The 24,999-nt window shown below is 33.1% G+C and overlaps 1 long non-coding RNA gene across 5 annotated transcripts in view; it reads left to right on the top strand.

Moving 5' to 3' along the window:
- The window catches only part of LINC02663 (long intergenic non-protein coding RNA 2663), a 434,814-nt gene that overhangs the window by 395,720 nt on the left and 14,095 nt on the right, over positions 1-24,999 (top strand). For all 5 annotated transcript variants that reach the window (XR_930643.2, XR_930644.2, XR_930645.3 and 2 more), the window contains one exon: positions 23,414-23,573. This is a non-coding gene — a long non-coding RNA (long intergenic non-protein coding RNA 2663). The remainder of the gene's footprint in view (positions 1-23,413; positions 23,574-24,999) is intronic.

The raw sequence follows: 24,999 nt of genomic DNA, 5'->3' as shown, positions 1-24,999 counted from the left end.
TTTTAGTAGAGATGGGCTTTCACCATGTTGGCCAGGGTGATCTTGACCTCCTGACCTCTTTTCAGTAACTGTTTGGGGCTAACTGGAGCAAGAGGCCTAGCCTTCAGTGTGTCTCAGCTTTCAAGATGTCATCCTCATTGAGCTTAATCATTTCTGGCTTTGGATTTAAAGTCAGTAATGTGCGACTCTTCCTTTCACTTGAACACTTACAGACCATTGCAGGGTCATGAACTGGTTGTGTTTCAGAGAATAGGGTGTTCCCAGGAGAGGGAGAGAGATGGAGGGCATCCAGTCATTGGAGCAGTGAGAACCCACACAACATTCATGGATTAAGTTCACAGTCTCATATGGCACATTCATGAAGCCCCAAAACAATTCCACTAATTACATCAAAGATCACTTGTCAAAAATTACCTTAATAGATATAATAATAATGAAAAAGTTTGGAATATTTGACACAGATACACAAAATAGTAATACTGTTAAATGCATGGTGCTGACAGACTTTCTTGAGGCATGGTTATCAAAAACCTTCTATTTGTAAAAAATGCCATATCTGTAAAGCTCAACTAAGCAAAGCACAATAAAATGAGGTATTCCTGTGCCATGTCTCATACTAACATTGTTTTTCAAAAGCTTTACGATCTTTACCTGAGGCACTGCCATGGCATACTTACCTGCAGCTATGTAAATTGAAACCAAACTACAATATGAGATTATGAGTATTTATCATTTTTCATTGTAATTTGTAATATTAATTAATAATGTAATATTGGTTTCATTTTTATTTTTTGCAGAAAAGAAAATATTATACTTAAACTATTTTATATTTCAATTTTGACAAAATTCAAGTCACAGATTTATTTCCAGTTCATATGAAAACAAGACTGTTTTACTTATCAATTGGAAAAATACGTATTTCTTTTTTTTTCTAATACCCAACCTTTAATTGTATCAACTTTGGTGTAGAATTCCCTCACAAGCTGCAGTTATTCTAATGACCCCCATGCTTTTTCCCAACCCTCTTGCATACAACAGAGGAGCCATGATTCCTCAGGGAAAAAAAAAAGAACTTTGTAAGTCCAATTTGTGTCCTGAAGAAGATGAATGCCTTGTGTTTTTCTCTAAGAAAAGAAACCTTGAGTTTTAACTAGGCACATAGCCACCACTAGTGCAAACCACACTTCTCAGACTCCCTTTTTAGCCAGGTGCTGTCATATGACTAAGTTTGGACCAATGGAATATGTGTGAATATAATGTGTGCAATTCCAGAGTCATCTTCTTAAAGGTGTTTGCCCTGGATTTTTCTTTTTCTCTTCTGATGGTGGGGAATGACATGAACCACAGCCGACATCTTGGAATTATTAGCAGGGTAGAACCATCCATGTGCAAAAGACCCTATTCTACGTTTAGACTTTTACACGATAGAAACGTAGACATGTATCACAAAAGTTATCACTGTAGAAACTGCAAGTTCATAGCATTAATTCATCAACATATTCCAGGCCCTGCTAATAGAAAATGATATTATTTTAAATCAATGGGTTTTTGAACACTTTTTTATAAAACAGCCCAATATACAAAACAAATAATGGCTGACCTGTTCAAGTAAATCTGCCCTTTCTCACCCACTTTAACCTTAGGTAGTTCTTCAGTTGTTAATGGAAAATCTAGGGACATTCTGATCATAGTATCAAAACCGCTGTCTTAATAATATTCATGTAATGTTTGATAATCTCATGCCATTTTATCTGCTTTATTTATTATTTATTTGTTTAGAGACAGAGTCTCACTCTGTCGCCCAGGCTGGAGTGCAGTGGCATGATCTCGGCTCACTGTAACCTCTGCCTCCTGGGTTCAAGCAATTCTCCTGCCTCAGCCCCTCAAGTAGCAGGGATTACAGGCACATGCCACCAAGCCCAGCTAATTTTTGTATTTTTAGTAGAGACGAGGTTTCTCCATGTTGGCCAGGCTGGTCTCAAACTCCTTACCTCAGGTGATCCGCCTGCCTCAGCCTCCCAAAGTGTAGGGATTACAGGTGTGAGCCACTGCACCCAGCATCTGCTTTTTTTATAAGCCTCATAATAAGTTTGAAAAATATTTTTCTTTCAACTTTACAGGTTAGAAACTTTGTAGTTATATATCAAAGGCCAAACATATAGCTACCAAAGGAGAGATGACTGACAAAGAAGGACGAGTGGTTTTTCTACCATTCTTCCCTTGTACCATAAGAATTATGAACAGTTGTTAGCTAGCATTTAAGGCTACTTAATAAAAAATATGTGTACATAAAACTTCACTTTGAGAATAAAGTATTGCTGCTAAAATCAGATTGTTTCCAATTACGAAAATATAAAGTACATGAATATTGACAGCATGGAATATAGAAAAATAACATAGATGTCTTATAGTTTCTATTTAGTTTATAATTTTTAAATTATCTTCTCTAATTATTTGTTTTAACAAAAATATTTGGATGATCAAATGATACCATTTTATTACAACTACTTTTAATTTGTTTAGAAATTTTAGTAAAGAGGGAAAATATGAGCGATAATTTCATTTTGTATTCAAATAGGACAATGTGATAATGAACTGTGACACTCAATTCACATTTTGTAGCTAAACACATAGGCTTTTCATTCTTGTGTTCTTCCTGTGTACTACTTTCCTACATAAAAACCATCAGTAAAATGTCTCATCAGTAGTAAAATGCAAATATTCAAAAAGTGTTATAACTCATTATTGTTGGTATTAAGTGATTAATAACTGTCTTTTGAGTGTCTCCTGATTTTGCTATATTCTATTGTTGGCAAACATCTTCAGTGACAAAATGATCCAAGAATACTTTAAAAGAATCGAACAAAATTGGAGTACCATTACACATGAAATTTTGTTGAGTACCATCCTGTCTTTGGATGGAAAGTAGGTTATTTAATATATATCTACTACCTTTGAGATGTAGTTTTTAATTTGGAATTCAGATATATTCCAGAAACAAAAGTAATATTCACTTGAATTTATAAGCTTAATCAGTTGGATATACTCAAAGGAGAAACTGATCTGTCTTTATAGAATTCTCTACTGATCATTTCTTTAGCATTTGATGTCAATGGTAGATGTCATTCTTCATTTGCCCTATTGAGAATACTTTCTCAAATGAATAAAAAATAATTTTCTCACGATTGCCCTGGGAAGAATGGCTTGGTTCAAGATATATTTTAGCTGATAAATATTATGAAATTATTTTGAACTCTGCAGTATATTCATGGGCTCTTTTATATATCCCCATTTGGAAAATGCAAATATCTTTAACCTTTTTTTTGTTGTTGTTGGATCTAGCTTAGTATTGAATGTTCTTGTTCTTAGTCACTAATATAAAAATGCAATATATTAAGTCCCTAGGGTGCTGCAGTTAGCAATGTACAAGGTATTATCAATTAGACAATAAATAAGTAAATAATTGCTGCAGGCCTATGTACTCTCTCTCTATATATATAAAATATGCAAATATGTATAGGAAATATAGTGTAGATAGAGCACTCATACTTGACTTACAAAATAAATATTTTTCAATGTGTATTGGTGCAAGCACCCTTATATACATATGCTTTGCATTAGACACTCAAAAAAAATTGGATTATGAAACTGTTTCTTTAGTAATGACTACAACTTCCTGAGGGGGACCCCTTTCTAGAGCTATTGACTCCAGATATTAAAACCAGGTACCTGCCTTGGTACTTTAAGGTTAGCTGTTGCTAATTTTAGACTTACTACATTCCTACTCTATGCATTGCTTACAACTTTATAAACAGTCCTTTTTGGAGTTTTCCTCAGTAACCCTTTGTGAGTGGTCATCTCTTTCCTGCCAGGGTCCTCAGGGAGGCAGCATGCCAGTTGGCTTGATTCATCAAATTCCAAACCCCTTGGGGTTGGGTGAATGATGGTCCCCTAAAGATGTCCAAATCCTAATCCCTGAACATGTGAATATTGTAACTTATACTTTGCAAATGTGACTAAGGTTCTTGAAATGGGAAGATAATCTTATATTATCTGAGTGGGCCTGCTGTAATCACAAGGGTCTTCATAAGAGTGTGGCAGGAAGGTCAACGTCAAAGAGAGAGAGATGTAAGGACTTAAGCAGAGGTAGGAGAAAAGAGAAGATGCTGCTGCTCGCTTTAAAGATGGAGGACGAGGACTCCTAAGAAATGCAGTCGGCCGGGCGCGGTGGCTCACGCCTGTAATCCCAGCACTTTGGGAGGCCGAGGCGGGCAGATCACGAGGTCAGGAGATCGAGGCCATCCCGGCTAAAACGGTGAAACCCCGTCTCTACTAAAAATACAAAAAATTAGCCGGGCGTAGTGGCGGGCGCCTGTAGTCCCAGCTACTTGGGAGGCTGAGGCAGGAGAATGGCGTGAACCCGGGAGGCGGAGCTTGCAGTGAGCCGAGATCCCGCCACTGCACTCCAGCCTGGGCGACAGAGCGAGACTCCGTCTCAAAAAAAAAAAAAAGAAATGCAGTCAGCCTCTAGAAGCTTGAGAATCAAGGACCCCCGGAAGTAATGCAGACCTACCAACATCCGGGTTTTAGACTTATGACCTTCAGATATGTGAGAAAATACATTATTTTTGTTTTAAACCACTAAATTTGCAGTAATGTGTTACAGGAACAGTAGGAAACTAATAAGTGTGCTTTTAAAGACTTCCCTTTTCAAGACAATTATTCTTTTTATCACATCTCTATTCTGCTAAAAATAATCTGTTTTAATATAATTTTTTGTACCTCTCATTTGAAGTCTATCCTAAAAATGTAGCTTTTAAACTTGCATTAAAACATTCAGTCATATTTAGAGAAAGATAGAGATGGAAATGATAGTTACATCAAAGAAGTTAATGCCACAGAAATTCCACTGAGGAGGATTACACATAATCATAAATCTATCCAATCCACGTAAGTTTTGTGTTCTTTGAAATGTATTTAAAGGCCTTTGCCTGAGAAAGGGATGCTGAAGGCTATCACATTCCAGAGAATTATTTCCAGTTTGTACACTTCTAAATACAGTTTTCTAAACTAAGTATAAAATCATATTTAGTTACTAGGAAATATATATTTATAAAATAGCATGGAAATAACCTCTGGGAGTAAAACGACTCCAAGACCCAGTAAGGGTTAAACTTTCATTCATAACTCAGTAAAGACAATTAATGGTTACTTCTAGGCTTGTGAGGTTTTTTTTGTACATAACAAAAACTGTTGTATACATTTTGTTATATAATAATTGTTATATACATTTTGTTATATAACAGTAACTTAGAAATGAGAACAATTAGCAATGTCTAGAGCTGCTCAAGTCGCAAAGCAACAGGGGTGTTGAAAAGTCTTACTGTTACCTCCCCTGAAGAGTCTTTCCTGAAAAGTTTTACTCTTACCTCCTCTGAAGAGTCTTCCCTGCTCGCATCCAAAGTTCTAGTAATTTAATATTTCCAAATTGGGAAACATTAACATCCTATTCTCTTCCCCCATAGCCTTTTGCGCATGCCTTTATCATAATACTGCTTATAGTATTAATAACGAGGTGGGCATAGAGTTCTATACTGTGGCTGATACTGTGTTAAGTATTTTATACCTATCATCTTCTTAATTACAACAAATATTTGTCGCTTTTTTTAAAAAAAAGTAAATAAACTCAGGTTAGGTGACTAGATAAGTATCAGAACTTCAACTCAAATCCAAGACTGCCAAGGTCAAAACATTACTTTTAACTCCCATGCTCTACTGACTGGCCATATTGTATTTTATCAGTTGTTTACCTGTGTGTTTGATGCCCCAGCCTGAGATCAGAGATTATATCCCATATTTTAGTATTTCTCATTCATGGAACTTTGCAGTGATACATAATAGATGCTCAACAGACATATAAAAGAGCTTACAATTTCCAAGTTGTTTTTGATGCTTTACAAGAGGTTTAGTTAGGATGTACATTACATAAAAATTCTATTAAAACCTGTCCAGGTATTTTTAAAGGAGAAAAACCCCAATCAGCTTTGACTGACATCATTGCAATCTATGCAATCTGCCTTAGAAAAATTTAGGACAGAGAATCAATTGAGCTTGATGTAGAAATAAAACCTTTTAAGCCAAAACCCTAAAGTAAGATGATAACATCTTACATGCTAGGTAGAAGTGATTTGACTTAGGCATGCTAGCTAAATTACCTAGGCCTAGGCCTTGAGAATGTCTAGGTGTTTTAGATTTTCATCATAACTTAATTCAAAGGCAAGGGTTTATTTTAAACAGAGGAAACTTTAGAACGTAGAGGACTGACATACTATTTCCCAAAATAGTGTATTACAAGTGTGCAGCCTTGTCCAGATGGTGCAATGTGTATTTTATATATTTTGACATCTGTGAATAAAAAATCTTGACTTGTTATCAAAATAAGCACAGAAAAATAATTTCCATGTCATCGTGAGAAAAATAACGTTATAATATAACTGCTTCTTTTGGTGGAATTTAAGGAAAGAAGAGAGAAACCAAGAGAGACAGATAGAGAAAGCGAAAGAGAGAGAGAGAGAGAGAGAAATTGAGAAATGATAGATATAGACCAAGAACTAATGCGCAAGCTGAAATAGGTGTAAGAATGCATTATATTTCAATTATCTCTCCTAAACCATTGTACTCAGCCTATTTGGATGTATTCCTTTTTTTTTTTTTTCTTTTCTCTCTTTATTTATTTATTTATTTTTTACAAGGCATCATTAAACCTGCAAGCTCAAACTGGAACCAAATATATACTACAAGGTTATAAATATAGGGTATATATTCAAATTCCCATGAGTAAAACAGGCTTTTTTTGTTTGTTTTGGTTTTATATTCTAAATTACGTATTCTGAGTGCAAGCACATGCTGAGTTATCTGGAATATACCATCATTTAATTGTCTCCAACATATTGTGATTAAAGGCATTTAACCGTCTCTTGAATGCCCAGAAAAAGTAATTGGCTTAACATATTAAAATACACTTAGGTGATAAAGTAACCATTTGAGTGAAATTTACATTTAAAGAAATATTAAATCTAATCCTATTAACTTCTTTTTATGATAGCAAATGTTTTCACTTTGTTCCCTGAAAGACTAAATTTCTCTCCTCCTCTTTTGAGGCACCTTTTGTTACCCACAGGCAATTTGAAACCTTCTCAAATCTCAGTCTGCTGGTATTTCTAGGCCTCCCTAGGTTCTGCAAAACAGTATATGTAGTTGCTCCTCAATCATCTTATTGTAGTGTACTGCCTAAACACCCATTGGAGACATGGAAGATTCATATGGTATGATTCTGCCTTTTAGAAAGTACCATGCTGTTGTGACACCTTATATAAAATAAGGCATTTTTATTATTTTTGGGTCAGTAATTTTACAATGCTGTATCATGGGAATCTCTCTCCAACATGCAGAAATACGTCATCTGAAATCTACAATATTAGTCATTTTCTAAGAAACTCTTGACTTAAGAACTGGCCTATTTTACTTATAGGGCCATGTTATGCCTGCCTGCAGGTGCATGGATAAAAATTAACATAAAAGAAAAATTGGAATTTTACCAGCATAACCATTCAAAAATCACAGCTTTTACAAGTAGTATGCTTGAGAGTACTTACCCCTAAAATGCAGAAGAAAACTGAACAGAAGTAATGTTTCAAATTACATATATACACAATTATATATAATTACAATATATGTAAATAAATACAATTATATATATATATAATTTCTAATTGTAGTAAAATACACATAACATCAAATTTATCTTAACCATTTTAGGTGCACAGTTCAGTAATGCTAAGTATATTCACATTATTGTGCAACCATTTCCCTATCTCGTTTTATCTTGAAAAACTGAAACTCTTTTCCCATTTAACAATAAACTCCTAATTCTCCCCTCCCCTCACCCCCTGGTGACTTTTGCACTATTTTCTGTCTCTATGAATGTTACTACTATAAATACCTCATATAAGTGAAATTATACAGTACAGCCATCCCTTGGTGTCCATAGGGGATTTGTTCCAGGACTACAGATACCAAAATCCACAGACACTCAAATCTCTTATATAAAATATTGTAGTATTGCATAGATCCTATGCACATCCTTGCATATATTGGAAATCATCTCTAGATTACTTATAGTACAAGGTAAATGCTATGTAAATAGTAATACTGTATTTTTAGGGAATAATGACAAGAAAAAAAAGTCCGTACCTGTTAATTCTTTGTTTCTGGAATATTTTCGATCATGGTTCGTTGAATTGACAGATGTATAAACCATAAAAATGGAGGACTGTTTGTATTCGTCTTTTAATAAACTTTATTTCTAGAGAAGTTCACAGAAAAATGGGGCAGAAGCTACAGAGATTTCCCTTATGCTTCTTTCCCTATGTATGCACAGCCTGTCCCACTGTCAACATCCTTCACCAGAGTGTCGCATTTGCACAACTGATAAACCTGCATTGGCACATCATTTTCACCTAGAGTCTATAGTTTACATTAGGACTCAGTATTGCTGGTGTAGATGCCATGAATTTGACCAAATGTATCATGATATGTATCTACCATTATAGTGTCTTACAGACTAGTTTTACGATCCTAAACATCCTTTGTTCCAACTGTTCATCCTGTCCTTTCCCTACCCCCTGGAAACCACTGATCTTTTTACTCTCTCCATAGTTTTGCCTTTCCAGAGTGTTGGAATCATACAGTATGAAATCATACAGTTGGAATCATACAGTGTGCAGTCTTTTCAAACTGGCTTTTTTTTCGCTTAGTATCTTACCCATTGAATACATGTTACATTATCTTACCCATTGAATACATATTGCTCTGTTAAGTTTTCTCCATGTCTTCTGATGGCTTGATAGCCCATTTCTTTGGTATACTCTCTGAGATTTACATTCCTATCTAGAAGTAATTTTAAAGCTCTCCTATCTATGTTTGAAATTTTAAGATGTGTAACTTATACCCTAAAATATATAGTGCACCATTTTCTCATTTTATTTTCTTACTCATTATGTCTCAAATATTGGATTAACGTTATCAGCTGAAGGGAGAGATCCATCCATTGTCTGGGTGGACCACAGTTTATTTATCCATTCACCAACCAAAGAACATCTGGGTTGCTCCCAAGTTTTGGCAATTATGAAGAAAGATGCTGTAAATATCTGTCTTCAGGTTTTTGTGTAGATGAAAGTTTTCAACTCTTTTTGGGTAAATTACAAGGAGCATGGTTGCTGAACTGTATGACAAAATATGTTTAGTTTTATAGGAAAGCACTGACCTGTCTTCCAAAGTGGCAATATCATTTAGCCTTTCCACCAGCAATGAATGAGATTTTCTGTTGCTCCATATCCACACCAGCAGTTGGTGTTGTCAGTGTTCTGGATTTTGACCATTCTGTTGGGCGTGTACTGGGGTCTCCTTATTTAAACTTGCATTTTCCTAATGACATATGGTATGGAGTATCTTTTTATATGTGTATTTGCCATCTGGATATCATCCAGAAGTAATCATTGTAATGTGTTTATGGCTAGGCTGCTAAAATCACTGTTAATAACTTATGATGCCTTAATTTGAAATAATAGAAATTCTAGATGTAAACTGTTTCAATAGTGGAAGGACTTATTTTTATACTTAAAAGGAGCTGAGGCAGAGTGCCTACAGGGCTGGTTAATTCAATTGTTCAGTGCCATCACAGGAAGCCACATCTCTTTCATTTTACATTGTCCATGATCGGTGTTGTTGACTGCCTTTTGCTAACTTCCTCCTGTTTGAAAGATAGCTGCCAAAATTCTAGGTGGAAATGCAGATATATTAATACTGAGCAGAAAAAAAGACAGGCCTTATCTTCTTTCTTTTAATTGGTGAGGATACCTTTTCCAGCACCAGCCACATTCTTAGCATTCATGACTTATTGCCAGATAGGGCCACATTCCATGGTAAATCAATCACCTCCAGAGAGAATGTGATCACCAGGCTACATTAAGATCAATCAGTTAAGCATATGGCATCTGGAAACCTATTGCAAAGGAAGAAAGAGATGGAAAGAAATGTTAGAAGGAAAAACCGTAGGGTACACAATGCTATTCTACAATGTCATGTAAAATAAGTACCCAGTGAACAGGGTAGTAACTAAATTTCAAATGATACAAAAAGTATAGTTGTTTATTTTATGTAATTAGTGCTTTCTCAAAACATTGATTAACATAACTCACTAAGATGAGAAATTTATGTAGAGATAACCACACATTTTAATTTCGTGAAGTTAAAATGTGTCTTAAAGGAACGTAGACTAACAGATCCAGTCTATCCTTGCATTTCTCAGCACACCACCCTTCTCCCTCCCAAATAATTGGGAAGTGATCTGTCTACATGTATTCTAGATTTAAGCTCTTGGCTTTACACATTGAAAACAATCTGATGTTTTACAGTCTAAAACTATATCCCTTATAACTAACCATTGATTTTCTATTGACTTTTTTTTATTAGTTGTTCATTATTACATGCATTAAAATGTTTGGTAATCTGGGGGAAATTATTGGTACATATATATTTCCCTAAGATAAAATTAAATGTGAGTAAAATATGTATGATGTACATTTTATGAACAAAGAAATATATTTATTGAACAGAAATCTATTTAAATAATTTTTTTGTCTTAAATGACACAAAGTCAGAAGTTCATCCCTTGACGAATCTACTAACACTTCGAGAACACGCAACCTAGCTTCATCCATGCTGTATCTATTAAAAGAAGAGGGGGTTGTGTTCCCTATTCCTGTCATCAGACAATTTGAAAAGCTTTTCCCACAAGTGAAAGTTCAGCTAAATCCTAGCTTTAACAGTTAACATGCATTTCATTTTAGTTTTGCCCATGACTGGGTCATAACTTTCACATAACCTCTGCTCCAAGGTCTCTCACAGAAGGTATATAGTATGAATGACACTATCATTCTTACATCAAAGTTTCTATTTTCAAAATAGAATAGCCTGCATGTAAAACTAGGTCAACACTGGTATAATTCTACAGGGTTTATTCTTTCTTTTAAGTTTAAAATAGTTCAAAAGAGATTGCATGTGGCCCTGCTATCTGTAGCTCGGTGGTTGGTGAGTGATAGTACATTCTCTGAGATTTGCATTCAACTAGGAGGTAATTTTTTTAAAAACACTCACACCTATATTTGAAAATTTGAGAAGTGAGTCATACCCTAAAATACAGTGCCCTGTTTTCTCTTTTAGTTCCCTCATTCATTGTATCTCAAATATTGGATTAAAGTTAAAGCTCTTGCATTGTGTTATGAGAAGACAAAAAGAGGTAGATGCTCTGAAAAGGTCATACTTGGTTTTCTCAATAAGGGAATTTTGCAGTACTTGTGCATTGAAACTAAGCTAGAAATATTTTTTGAAGAAGATTTAAAATTTAAATGTCCAAGAAAATTTATTTTTTTTCCTTCCCTAGGATTTTTTTTTTAACCATAAAATATTCCCTCCTTAAATAGCCCCCATTCTGTTGTGGAGAAAGAGAGCAGCTGTTTGCCTGTATTATCCACTTGTGAATTTTCACCCTTATTCAGTTTTACCCATATGGCAACCTAAAAGCTACTATGAACAAATTATCTAGGCCCTTATCCAAGACTCTAATATGAGTCGTGCTAATTAAAAACAAAGGGATAGATAAGTTTGTGTTAAACAGTCATAGGAGACACCAAACTGCTTTTCTAATGTATACATTTTCAGAAAACTGCAAGAATATTATGCTAATTCAGAATGTATTTCCTCCATTCTTTTGGAATCTTAAAAAATACGTCAGCATTACTCTTATTCTTATTGTACTATCATTATTACTATTATCACTACCTTATGCAATACAATGGTGGATTATCTCAGGAAATATGAAAGGAAAAATAAAAATGATAAAGAAGTCTACTCTGAAGGCTTTTTATCCTAGGAATGCTCATTTACCTAGCCATGGTTGAAACTTATATCAAAAGTGGTTGATGGGACGTTCTTCATGACTTTAATTCTTTTGCTTAAGGGGACTTTAGGCAGAGTCATATCATATCTTTCTTTGGAATTACCACATGGTCTTAAACTGGCCATGTAATGTCCTTAATCCAATGAACTCATCATCGAAACGCTGGTGGGAGCCAAGAAAGGAAAAATTAGCTGGAAATGAGATACCAAGGAGCTGGAGAATATTGCTTTCATCATAAGTAGCTCCTTTATAGGGTGTTTACATAGTTGCTTTAAAATTGACATAATATTTGCAATTATGTCCTAAACAATATTTTACATCTCACCCTGTTTTTCCTGTTTAGCAGAGCCATTTCCATGATTTGTTGGCTCATTTTTATGTTAAATATTTTCACAAGAATGGCTTCTTGACATCAGGGAGTCAGTCAGATATAATGGAGTTCTGCTAACAAGCCTCATAAAAATGTAGGAAGCAGATAATAAATCAGACTTATATACTTCATAGATAATAACTTGAAATTTGGAATAATTAAGTATCTAGCACACTACAGCACTTGTGAAACATTAAGAGCTTGGTGCAAACAGAAAAAAATGTCCACCCATATTTAAAGCTGATTTCCTTTATTAAATGAAATCACCAGGTCTCTATGCTGACACATTGGCCATCCTAACTTAGAAATATAGTATAGAGTCCTAAGGGTAACTGCTGGAATGATGACTATTTCTTGGTGTTCTTTCGGAAGCTGGCTAGGTAAATAGAAGCGATGTCAAGTAATTGAGCCACAGCTGGTCAGGACATTTCATTAGCAGCATTACTATCAATCCTTGGTTAAAAGAGTAAATGGAAGTACTATGAATTAGTAATAGCTCTTAGAGCTGAAAGTGTGGTTCACACTTTGCCTTAGGGAAAGAAGTTTGAGAAAGGCAAAGAATGACTGAGAATACTCATCCTTTTTTTTTTTTTTTTTAAATTTTTCCACAGGAGTTGATTTCTCTACTAAAAGCAATACCCACAACATTGAACCCTTGATATAAAACCTGATACTGAATTTTCCACAAGGTCACCTATATTTAAGTAACATATTCAGGATTATATAATATGAGAGTTAAAGCAGAATAATGAGAGTAAACAAAAATTGCAGTGCTAATGATACTTCGATTTGCATGGCATTTTTCATCAGCTAATTCAAAAACAATTGAATCTCTTAAAAACTGAAATGTTTTTAAAGAAAATGGCTGACTTTCAGTTAAAATTTTACTTTTTTAAAAAACTAACCCTGAAACTTCTACTTTAGTTCTATATTCAAACATAAAATACTCCACTTAAAAAAATTTGCACCTCGTATGCTATCAAGGGCCTTCATATTTTATTTTATATGTATATATTCAAATAGGAATTCACTTATATTTGTTCAAAATGTATTAGGAAAAATCAATGTGTGGTCAGTACACACTGCATGTGAATTGTAAACAGATATTTAGTGTGTGAATATTGTCATTGATCCACTCATTTTTACCAAGTGATTTCTAGTTGCTAATACTAAGCTATACTGCATATTGCCAATGTTTTACCTGGTTTTAGAGCAAAGCCACATGACCAAAACCAAAAGGGAGAAAGAGGCCTTCTACTTCTATATTTATAGCCATTCACATTCACACATGTATATACATAAACAGTCAAGTCTACCATCATGCAAATGCTTAGAGCATGTCAAATTAAATCCCATCAGGGTACAAATCAATTTTCCTATTTTAGCTTTTTTCATTTTATTTTTCTACCATAAGGAGTACAGAATCCTAATCAATTCTAACTCATCAAATTTTAGCAGAGTAGTTAAAAGAACAGACTGAAGTATGAGACAACTGAGATTTAAATCTTGACTGCCACTTAACAGACTCTGTGAATGTGGAAAGCTACTTTAAGTTTTAGATTTCATTTCTCTCATGTCTAAAATGGACATAGAAGCTCAGAAAGCTTTGGAAAGAAGAATTGCTCAAAAACATAAGCTACTGTTAATGAAATGATTATTATTTCACAAATTTTAGCTTTCAATTATTATTTCTTACAGAGACTTGAGGAAGCAAAACTAAAGCAAAATTAAATAAACAACCTCAATGAGTTTATAGCTTAACCGAATATTAAAATAAAAGAAAATTGGAACATATTAAGTTAATTTGTAATTCAAATAAATAGGCTAACCACACTGAACGTGTACTTAGTGTTTGATGAACAGGCGTTCTTACCTTTATTTAGTCCATTTCACTGTTCTTTACCTGTCTGAATAGTGCTTTGTATGCATTATTAATAAACAAACAAAAACTTTCCCTCTGTGAAATCCCAAAGACTTTTATTTTAAAATTGAAATATAATTAACTTAGCATAAAATTTATTTTTTAAAGTGTAAAACTTAGTTGGTTTTAGTATATTTACAAGATTTTAAAAACATTACCACTATCTTATTTTAGAATGTTTCATCACCTCAGAAAGAAATTTCATACATATTAGCAGTTACTCTCCTTTCTTTCCTCCTTCCCACCCCCACCCCAACCCCTGGAAACCACTTATCTACTTTCTGTCTCTATAGATTTGCCTATTCTGGGAAACTAATATTAATGGAAGGATTCAAGATGTGGATTTCTGTGCTTTGATTCTTTCATTTAGCATAATGTTTCCAAGTTTCATCCATGTTGTAGTATGTATCACTACTTCATTTCTGTTGGTGGTTGAATTATATTCAGTTTTATGGATATGCCAAATTGTGTTTATTAATTTATCCATTTATCCATTGATGAGCATCTGGATTGTTTTCACCTTTGGATTTATGAATGATGCTGCTAAGAACATTTGTGTGGCCAATATTATCACTTCTCTCAGGGATATATATAGAAGGTGAAATACTGTGTCGTGTGGTACTGCTATGTTTTAACTTTTTGAGAAACCGCAAAACCATTTACCCAAGGGGCCACACAATTTTTCATTCCCATAGTAATATATGAGTTCCATTTTCTCCATATATCTGTCAACACTTGTTGTTGTCTGTATTTTTCACTAGAGCCATTCTAATGGGTGTGAAGTGGTATCTCATTGTGATTTGGATTTACATGTTCCTAGTGTTAATCATGTGTAACATTTGTTTTTGTATTTATTTGCCATTTACATATCTTCTATAGAGAAATATCAATTGAAATCCTTTGCCAATTTTTATTGGGTTGTCTTTTATTGTTGAGCTATAAGAGTTCTTTATATATTATGGATATAAACTTTTTCAGATATGTAACTTACAAATATTTTCTTCTGTAGGTTTTCTTTTCTTTTTCTTGATGGTGGTCTTTGAAACATGGAAGTTTTTAATATCTGTGAAGTACAATTTATTTATTTTTTATTTTGTTGCATGTCAAAGAAACAATTGCCTAATTCAAGGTCATGAAGACTTAGACCTATATTTCCTTCTATAAACTTTATATTTTTAGCTCTCACATTGTCTTTAATCCATTTTGAATTAATTGTTCTATATGGTGTGGGTAAGGGCCCAACTTTATTCTTTTGCATATAAATATTCAATTGTCTAATAATCATTTATTGAGAAGGTTTTTATTTTCCTATTGGATTATTTTGGCACACTTGTCAAAAATTAATTAGCAATAAATATAAGAGTTTATTTCTGGAATCTCAATTCTATTTTATTGATTCTTATATTGATTCTTATGCCAGTACCACACTGTCTTGATTACTGCTTCTTTGTTATAACTTTTGAAATCATAAAGTGTGAAATTTCTGACTATTCTTATACATCGAGTTTCTTTTGATTATTCTAGATTCCTTGAATCTTCATATAAGTTTTTAGATCAGCTGGTCAATTTGTGAGAAAATGGGTAGCTAAGATTTTTGGTGAGTGTGACATTGAAAATGATCTGTAGACCAATTTGTGGAATATTACCATCTTAACAATATTAAATCTTTCAATTCATGAATATGGGATGTTTTTTCCATCCATCCATCCCTCCATTATAGGAGTCCATTCCATCATGGGCTCCTATAATTTCTTTCAGTTATCTTTTTTTTTATAACATTTAGATGTTTGGAGTACAAGTCTTGCATTATTTTGTTAGGTTATTCATAAGTATTTAGTTCTTTTTGATGCTATTGCAAATGAAAGTAATTCATTAACTTCAATTTATAATTGCGAATTCTAATATAGAGAAATATAGCTTACAGTTGCCTTTTAATCATGTATTGTGCAACCTTGCTGAACTTTGTTTTTTAGTTCTAAGTTGTTATATGTGGATTCTTTAGGGCTTTCTGAATGTAAAATTGTGTCATCTGTAAATAGAGATAAGTAAACTTTTTCATTTCTAATCTGGGTACCCTTTATTTCTTTTTCTTGCTGAATTGCCAGTTGCTAGAGCCTCCAGTACAATATTGAATAGAAGTAGTCAGAGCAGGCACTCTTGTCCTCTTTCTCATCTTGTTCTTTCTTAGGGGAAATGTTTTAGTCTTTAACCTTGAAGTATAGTGATAGATGTGGGTTTTTATAGATGTTTCCTTAGCAGCATGAGTTTTCCCATCAAATTTGTCAGTTTTTACTTCATGTATTTTGGGGATATAATGCTACATGCATATATATTTATAATTTTATGACTTCTGAATTGACACTTTTTTGTCTTAAAGTCTACTTTGTCTGATACTAGTATAATGTTTCATCTCTCACTTTTGCTTTCTTTTTTTTTTTTTTTTAATTGATGGAGTCTCGCTCTGTCGCCCAGCCTGGAGTGCAGTGGCGCGATCTCAGCTCACTGCAAGCTCCACTTCCCGGATTCACACCATTTTCCTGCCTCAGCCTCCCGAGTAGCTGGGACTACAGGCGCCCGCCACCACACCCGGCTAATTTTTTGTATTTTTAGTAGAGACGGGTTTTCACCGTGTTAGCCAGGATGGTCTTGATCTCCTGACCTTGTGATCCACCCGCCTCAGCCTCCCAAAGTGCTGGGATTACAGGCATGAGCCACCATGCCTGGCCTCAGTTTTGTTTTTATTAACTTTTCAAGCTCATGATTACCTTTCACACTTTAATGAAAAATTAATCTGAAATTGACTTAGTGTATGGCATGAACGAAAGGAATTTTTTTCTCTCACAGTGTTCTTGTATGGATTGCCAAATGGCCATGCAACACCATTTACTGCAATAACCATTCTTTCCTCACATCTGCTGTGCTTTTTCTTCATAAATCAATGATCCATTTATATATGCATCTGTAAATAGCCCCTTAAAAATTTGTCTATTTTTCTATCCTTGCATTAAAACCGCAATATCTTTATATGGCTTTAGGTAAGCCTTTATATCTATATCCCATGTTGTCTTCTTTAAGAATGGCTTAGTGATTCTTTATTCATTATATTTTCTACATCACTACTCAAATTTGTTGTACATATACATAGACCAAACATGATAGAAATATATTGAAATTACATATCAATGTTAGTCTGATTCTTATTTACCAATTCCAGGCCTTCAAAGTCATGAAAACAGTATATATTTTTCTATTTATTTAGATTTTTAAAAAAATTATAATGTTTTTTAAATTGCTTTGTAGATATTTTGCACTTATGTTAATTTTTAATATTTTCATTTTTAAGAGCAGGTCTAGTTTTACAGCAAAATTGAGATGGAGGTACAGAGATTTCCCATATCCTTGCTGCCTAAGCACATGCATAGCCTCTTCCATTATAAATACCCCCAGCAGAATGGCCCGTTTGTTTTAATTGATAAATGTACATTGACACATCATTATCACCCAGTGTTCATGGTTCAAATTAGGGTTCACTCTAGGTATTGTATATTCTCTGGGTTTTGACAAATATGTCATTACATGTATACCCCATCATAGTGTCATATAGACTAGTTCCACTGCCCTAAAAAATCCTTTGTGCTCTGCCTATTGGTCCCTTTCTCCCCCAACCCCTTTTGTTAATGTTTTAATGGTATATTTCAAATTTCACTTAAATTTTATTAAAAATTAATTTGATTTGATATAGTGTTTTTTTAAAATTGATTTTTTTCTGTATCAAACTACCTTGCAAAATTTCCTCAACATTTATTTGTCATTTCGAAGTGTCTTATATTTACAATTATATTATCTGTGAATAATGCCCATTTTAATTTCACTACACTTACTATGTTATTTATTTATTTATTTTCTTATGTTAGTTCTCTTGCTGGGACCATCAGTATAATATTGAATTAAAGTGGTGGTCATGAATATCTTTGTTTACTTCTCAATCTTAAAAGGAATGTTTTCAACATTTTACAAATTATGTACACTCATCAGATCAAATCATTTTTCCTCTAGTTCTTGTTTGCTAAGGATCATTACCATGAATATATGTGAATATTAAATAGTGTTTTGGTCTATATTGAGAAGATCAGATATTTTAAGAATTTGTTACTGTGTTTAAAAATGTTGAAGTCACATAATCTTTGCTATTATATTAACATATTATGTGTATTATAGCAGATAGATAGCAAGTAGGTAAGTTATACTTACCAACATTGAGATAAATTATAGCTTGACAATAATAATTTTAAAATATGTTTTGGATCATTTTAAAAATTAAAAGTGAAACAAATTTTTGGAAATTTCTTTAGTGACTTTAATATTAACAATGAAGTAAAGATATAAATAGATGCCATAGAAATGTAGAAGACCATAAGAATACATTACGATTAGCTTTGTATCAATCAATTTTTAAATGTGGATGAAATACACTAAGAATCACAAAAATATAAATTTCCAAGATTCACATCCATTGAAGCAGAAAATCTAAAGAATTCTGTGTCTATAACGTAAATTTAATAAATCATTATGGAACTTTCTGCAAAGAAAATTTCAGACCCATTCTCATTAGTGAATCCTAGCTAATATATATTTTTAAAGTAATGCCTATTGTATTAGTTTTCCATTGCTGCCATAAAAATTATCACAAATTCAGTGTCTTTAAACAGCATAAATGTATTGTCTTACTGTTCTGTGGGTCAGAATTCTGATGCATGCCTCATGAGTTAAAAATCAAGCAGGGCTAAGTTTCTTCCCTGAGGCCCTAGGTAGGAACATACTTCCTTGCCCTTCTCAGCTGTAAGAGCCTGCCCATATTGCCTGGCTGATGTCACTTTCTTCCATCTTTAAAACCAGCAAAGACGTGTCTCCTTCCACCTGTGCTCCCATCTTTCTTACTCTTTGCGGTTAGTATAGGTTCTTTACTTTTGAGGATTTATGTAGTCATATTAAATTCACCTGAATAATCTTGGCTGACTTCTCTCATTTCATGGTCCTCAACCTTGATCACATCTTCAAAGTCACCCTTTCCTTACAAAGTAACATTAGTCAGAGGTTCCAAGGATTAGAGCATGGACACTATTAGGGAGCCATTATTCTGCCTACTGCACTCATCTCTCCAAATATAAATAGATAGATGGATGGATGGATAAATAAATAGGTAGGTAGATATATATATACACACACACACAACTCATTTATGAATTCAACACAACAGGAATACCAAAGCCTGAAAAGGACATATGAACTGGAAAATCCCAGGCTAATCTCCTCATGAAAATAAAAGCAAAGCTCCAATACAAAATATTTAAAAATAAATAAATTATTTATTTATAAAAATATTAGTGTATTTAAGCAAAAGAGACTTTATTAGAGGAATCCTTAGATGTTTGATTTAGTATTTTTTAAAAAAAATCAGGTGAAGTAACCACTACATCATCAGAAAAAGTGATAAAAATATATGATCCAGTCAATAGAGGCCAAGATAAATTCAAGATCCAATCAAAATAGAAACTCTTTGCAAACCAGGATAACTGTGGGACTTTATTAATAAATCTTAATAAAAGTTAAATGTAAAAAGCTTTCTGCGAGCAGCATAATTGAGATGGACATATTGAAAACTCATTTTGAGAAAAAAAATAAGACAAAAAAGAACGTTAACACTACAGCTACTCAAGACTGAACCAGAGGTCTCAGTCGCTGCTATTAGACATTGATTCAAATTGTAAGAATTAGGAAGGCAATATTAAAAATCTTTGTATTAACATAAAATTCAGAAATTAATACATAAGTTATAATTAATAAGTGTAGCAATTACGCTGAATATAAGGTCACTATTTTTACATATTTACTAGATTAGCAGTTAAAACAGAGTAAAAATAAAATGAAATAAATTTAAAAATTAAGTCAGAAATGTCAAATATCAATGTATAAATGTAACCAAATATGGGCAAAACATCTATGCAGATAATTACAAAACTTTTTTGAGAAAAATTAAAGATTAAAATAGAGGAATGTTTCATGTGTGTGGATTGGAAGACTCAATATTATAAAATGTCAATTTAGCTGGACACAGTGGTGCACATCTGTAATCCTAGCACTTTGGGAGGCTGAGGTGGGAGGATCACTTGAGGCCATGAGTTCAAGACCAGCCTGAGCAACATGTGAGACCCTGTCTCTATAAAAAATGTACTTGGGTGATCATTCCACTATACTTCAGCATGGGTGACAGGGCAAGATTCTGTCTCAAAAAAAGTTAAGTATTTCCAAATTACATATTTATTTAATGTTATCTTAATAAACTCCAATTAGGTTTTTGTGGAAAGTGACATGATCAATCTAAACTTTATATAGAAGAAGAACATGCCAAAAATGGTCAAGACACTTTTGAATTTAAGACAAAAAATATGAGGATTTTAAAAAAACTATACTATATTAATTGAGAGTTTGTGATACGGTATAAAGAATAAAATATAAATTTGAAAATGAAAGAATAAAGACACCAAAACTCATACTCACAAACAATCAAAATTCACCAAGCAGAGTAGTCAAAAATGGGTGGTATTTTCAATCAGTGATTCTATAGAAAATTGACACCCAAATAGAAATTAACAAAATTATTTCCTGTATCACATCATACAGGAACTTTCACTCTAGAGTTAAAAATCTAGACATGCAAGCATAAAAACAGAACTTTAGAAGAGAACATAGGAGATGTAGAAAGGTACATTAAATAGAATGCAAGAAGAACTGACCATAGAAGAAAAGATTGAAAATCTGGAGAAATTAAAAATTAGTAAGACACTATTAAAGGAATAAAAGAACATGTTAAGAACATGTTACAGTTTTGCTGGAATTATTTATATGCCTTATAAATACTTGACAAATACTCATGTCCATAATATGAAGAGATGCTTCCAGTCAATAACATGCAGAAAAATAATCTCGTAGGAAGTTTACTGAAATTAGAATGGATACCTTGCAAAAGAGGCTAATAAAATGGCCAATAAAGACAAAATGGTGCTTATGTTCATTAGGCATTATGTAATTGCAAATTTACTCCAGAATGATATATGACTATATACACAACAGGATGTCTAAGTATAAGACAAACAAGCGTTGTGTTTAGCCAGAATGTGCATAAATGAGAACATGCATACTTAATGTGCATCAACTTGGGAAAATGATTAGGCATTGTCTACCTATGATGAAATCTGCATTAGCTTATAATCATCAATTCTATTCCTGGGTCATATCTAAAAGAAATACATGGGCATGTGCCCCAAGGGCACACACACAAGAATGTTTATGATGCATCTCTCATAACAGCTAACAATGAGAAACAAACCTAGTACCCTGTCAAATATATCATGCTTGATTCAGCAGTATAATAATATACAGATTTGAAGACTGAATGAAATATGCTACATCCAAAAATGTGGTTGGTTCCACAAACATAATGTTGAGTGGAAGAAGTAATAGAGAATATAATACACAGAATGGTCCCATTTATACAAAGATAAAACAGACATTATTAAATTGTAGTGTGAAGAGACACATGTGTATATAGTAAAACTAAAAACCTTGAGAAGAGAGAAAGCAATGAGGTAGCTACCATAAAAGTCAGGTTAGTGGTTACTTTTTTTTCTTTATTTTTTTTGAGACAGGGTCTTGCTCCATCACCTAGGTTGGAGGGCAGTTGCACAATCTTGGCTCACTGTAACCTCTGCCTCCTGGGTTCAAGTAATTCTCCTGTCTCAGCCTCCTGAGTAGCTAGGATTACTGGTGCCCGCCACCATGCCCGGCAAATTTTTGTATTTTTAGTAGAGATGGGGTTTCACTATGTTGCCCAGGGTGGTCTCAAACTCCTGACCTCAAGTGATCCACCTGCTTCAGCTTCCCAAAGTGCTGGGATTACAGGCATGAGCCGTGTCACTGCGCTAACCCAGGGTAGTGATTACTTTTATTCACAGCAGGGCATAGAGATGGGAAGGAGACAATAGAAAGAATTCTTTGGAGTGGTGGCAAAAATCTGTATTTTCTTCTTGATCTTGGTGATGGTTATATGAATGACTACTTTGGGATAATTCATTAAGCTGTAGCTATAGTTTTATTCGACTTATTGTATGTGTATTATACTCTGTTTCGAAAATGAGCATCATTTGTTTTGTTTTGTTTGTTATTAAAGAATATGAAAAACCACTTAATGGTTAGAACATTTTTCTATTTCTTTCTTAAGGAAAATACCATTCTCTCGGACCATTCTGTATCACCTCAGAGTGGAAGAGAAATGCTTATTGGAGGCTGTTCCTTAGGACATATATTTTCATAACTGGTTTTGAGTTATCTCAGATACAGATGAAACATATGAAAATATAAATGGCTTGGTAACTCTCAGATTTAAAATGTTTGGCATAAATTTAAATAATCATCTCTCAATAACAATTATAGAGTCTCTGTTTTCTATATTTTACATGTGCCATTAGGATATCACTTGGGAGAATATGTGTAACCCATGAAAAGAATGGGTAGAAGTTGTGTGACAAGATTTCTGTTCCGATATTAGAATTGAATTTCTTTAATCATGAACAAGTCCCGTGGAATAAATAGCTGAATTGTTCATGAAAGTGGAATCAGTTGAACATTATTTGTGTTAAAGGTCATTTATGTATTAATTTTTCAACTCTATAGGCAAAGTTATCTTCAGTAGGCTAGATGAGACTGTTTCAAAAGATGTATTATTTTATAATGGTGTTGTAGGTTTAACACCAAAGCAGAGATTCTGCACACCAATGAATATTATGCAAAATTATTTTACATACAGATTTTTAACTCACTTAGTTTCTTTCATGGCTTAAAAATCCTACAAAATATAATGAATTATGTAAAGAATATACATGCTAAAAAATCTATCTCATTGTCAAAAGCTGTGAGATACGAAGATTGTCCTGAGAGTGGTATAATTTAATAAAATATTTACAGGATTTGAAATCAATGAAGAGAACAGAGCTCTTGTCCCACCTCCTTTTCCATGGTGAAATTTCTTATCTTGTTTTGACCACAGATCCCCTTGTCATAAAACCAATGCATAAGATACAACTGCATCCAATGTATTCCAGGGAAAGATTCTCTGCAGATGACTCAAGGAAAGCCACAGGAGCAACAGGGAAACTGAAAGAACAAATATCACAGTTGATTCAGAAGGGCAGCCCCACATTTTTAAGGTTTGTATATCATGCTTTATGTAAATGCTCATTCAGATAGAGGTCCAGATGCTAAATTGAAAAAAATAATATTAATGATATTATAAAAGTTATTTGATTCAATATGATTTCAGAATGCTGTGAAATGGTTCTTAGTATCTAACATAATGCCTTTCATATTTTAACTACCTATTAAATATCTGGTGGATTTATAAAATATTAAGTTATCTCACAGTTATACAAAGGGATTATCATTCTCATATATGAAAATTCATCAAAGACCAGAAAATATAATAAGGTACTTTACTCTCTTGAGTCTTACAGATTTTAAAGCCAAAAGGGATATGAACATACATACCCCCCATCACCTACTTTATATGTGAGAAAAACAGAGTTCAAAGAGAATATGCGATCAGAACACAAGTTTTCAATGCCAAACACCATGTGCCATGTGTGAAAACAAACTGCTACCAATTAATCATTTGATTTTGAGCCCCTTTACCATAATCATTTGTAAAATGAAGAGACTAGACTAAATGAACTCTGGAGTCTCTGTCAGCTTAAAACTTCAGACTCTAAATCTTGATTATAATCCAAATAAATTTTGCCAAATGCTTTACATAAAAGTAAAGAATATTAAGGAATCCTCAGTGGATCCACTATGAGATATTTTTTGATCAAACTAATAATTATTGTTAATATATTTAAGAACAATACCTCAAAATGATTGTGAACTGTTAGGGGAAAGTTCACTAGTATTTCTTTATATCCCTTAGAGTCAGTTTCTTTTTGAAATTACTTTTATGCAAACAAAGAATCATAGAGCTATTGTAAGAATGGTATCTATAATTTCATCACCTAAAGATCACATACTGAGTTCTCTCAAATGAAATGTGTTTATAGATTTAAACTAGGTTGATTTTGAATTCATCATTCTAAAATAAATGCCTTAAATTTTAAAATGTATTTAAAATATATATTGGAAATTTTGTAGATTCTAAGTCAAAGTAATTTGAAATAAAAATTTTGACAAATTAAGATAATTTTGCACATATTTGTCTTGAATATAGCAGGAGATATTTACAAATATTTTAAATTCCTACAGTTCAACTTAAATTCTAATCACTACTTAAATATTAAAGCCAAAATACAATGATGGTAAAAGCAAATAATTTTAGTAGCCAGCCTCTAAATTAAGTAGAATATGAAAAAATATTTAGAAAATATCAAATGGTTTTATGATATCTCGCAAATATATCAATCATATTCATTCCATTTCTGCATATTTACCCAAGAGAAATAAAAGCTTATGTTCACAAAAAGACATACACAAATGATCAAAAACCACAATTATTTTTGCACAAAGCTAATACAATGGAATACTCAGCAATTAAAATGCATAAATAGCAGACATGCTCTACAATGTGGATGAATCTTGAAATAATTG

The sequence above is a fragment of the Homo sapiens genome, chromosome 10 (genome assembly GCF_000001405.40).
Source record: "Homo sapiens chromosome 10, GRCh38.p14 Primary Assembly".
NCBI classification, from domain to species: domain Eukaryota; kingdom Metazoa; phylum Chordata; class Mammalia; order Primates; family Hominidae; genus Homo; species Homo sapiens.
The sequence above is the reverse complement of the archived record's forward strand: the minus strand, read 5'-3'. Positions and strand labels throughout refer to the sequence as shown.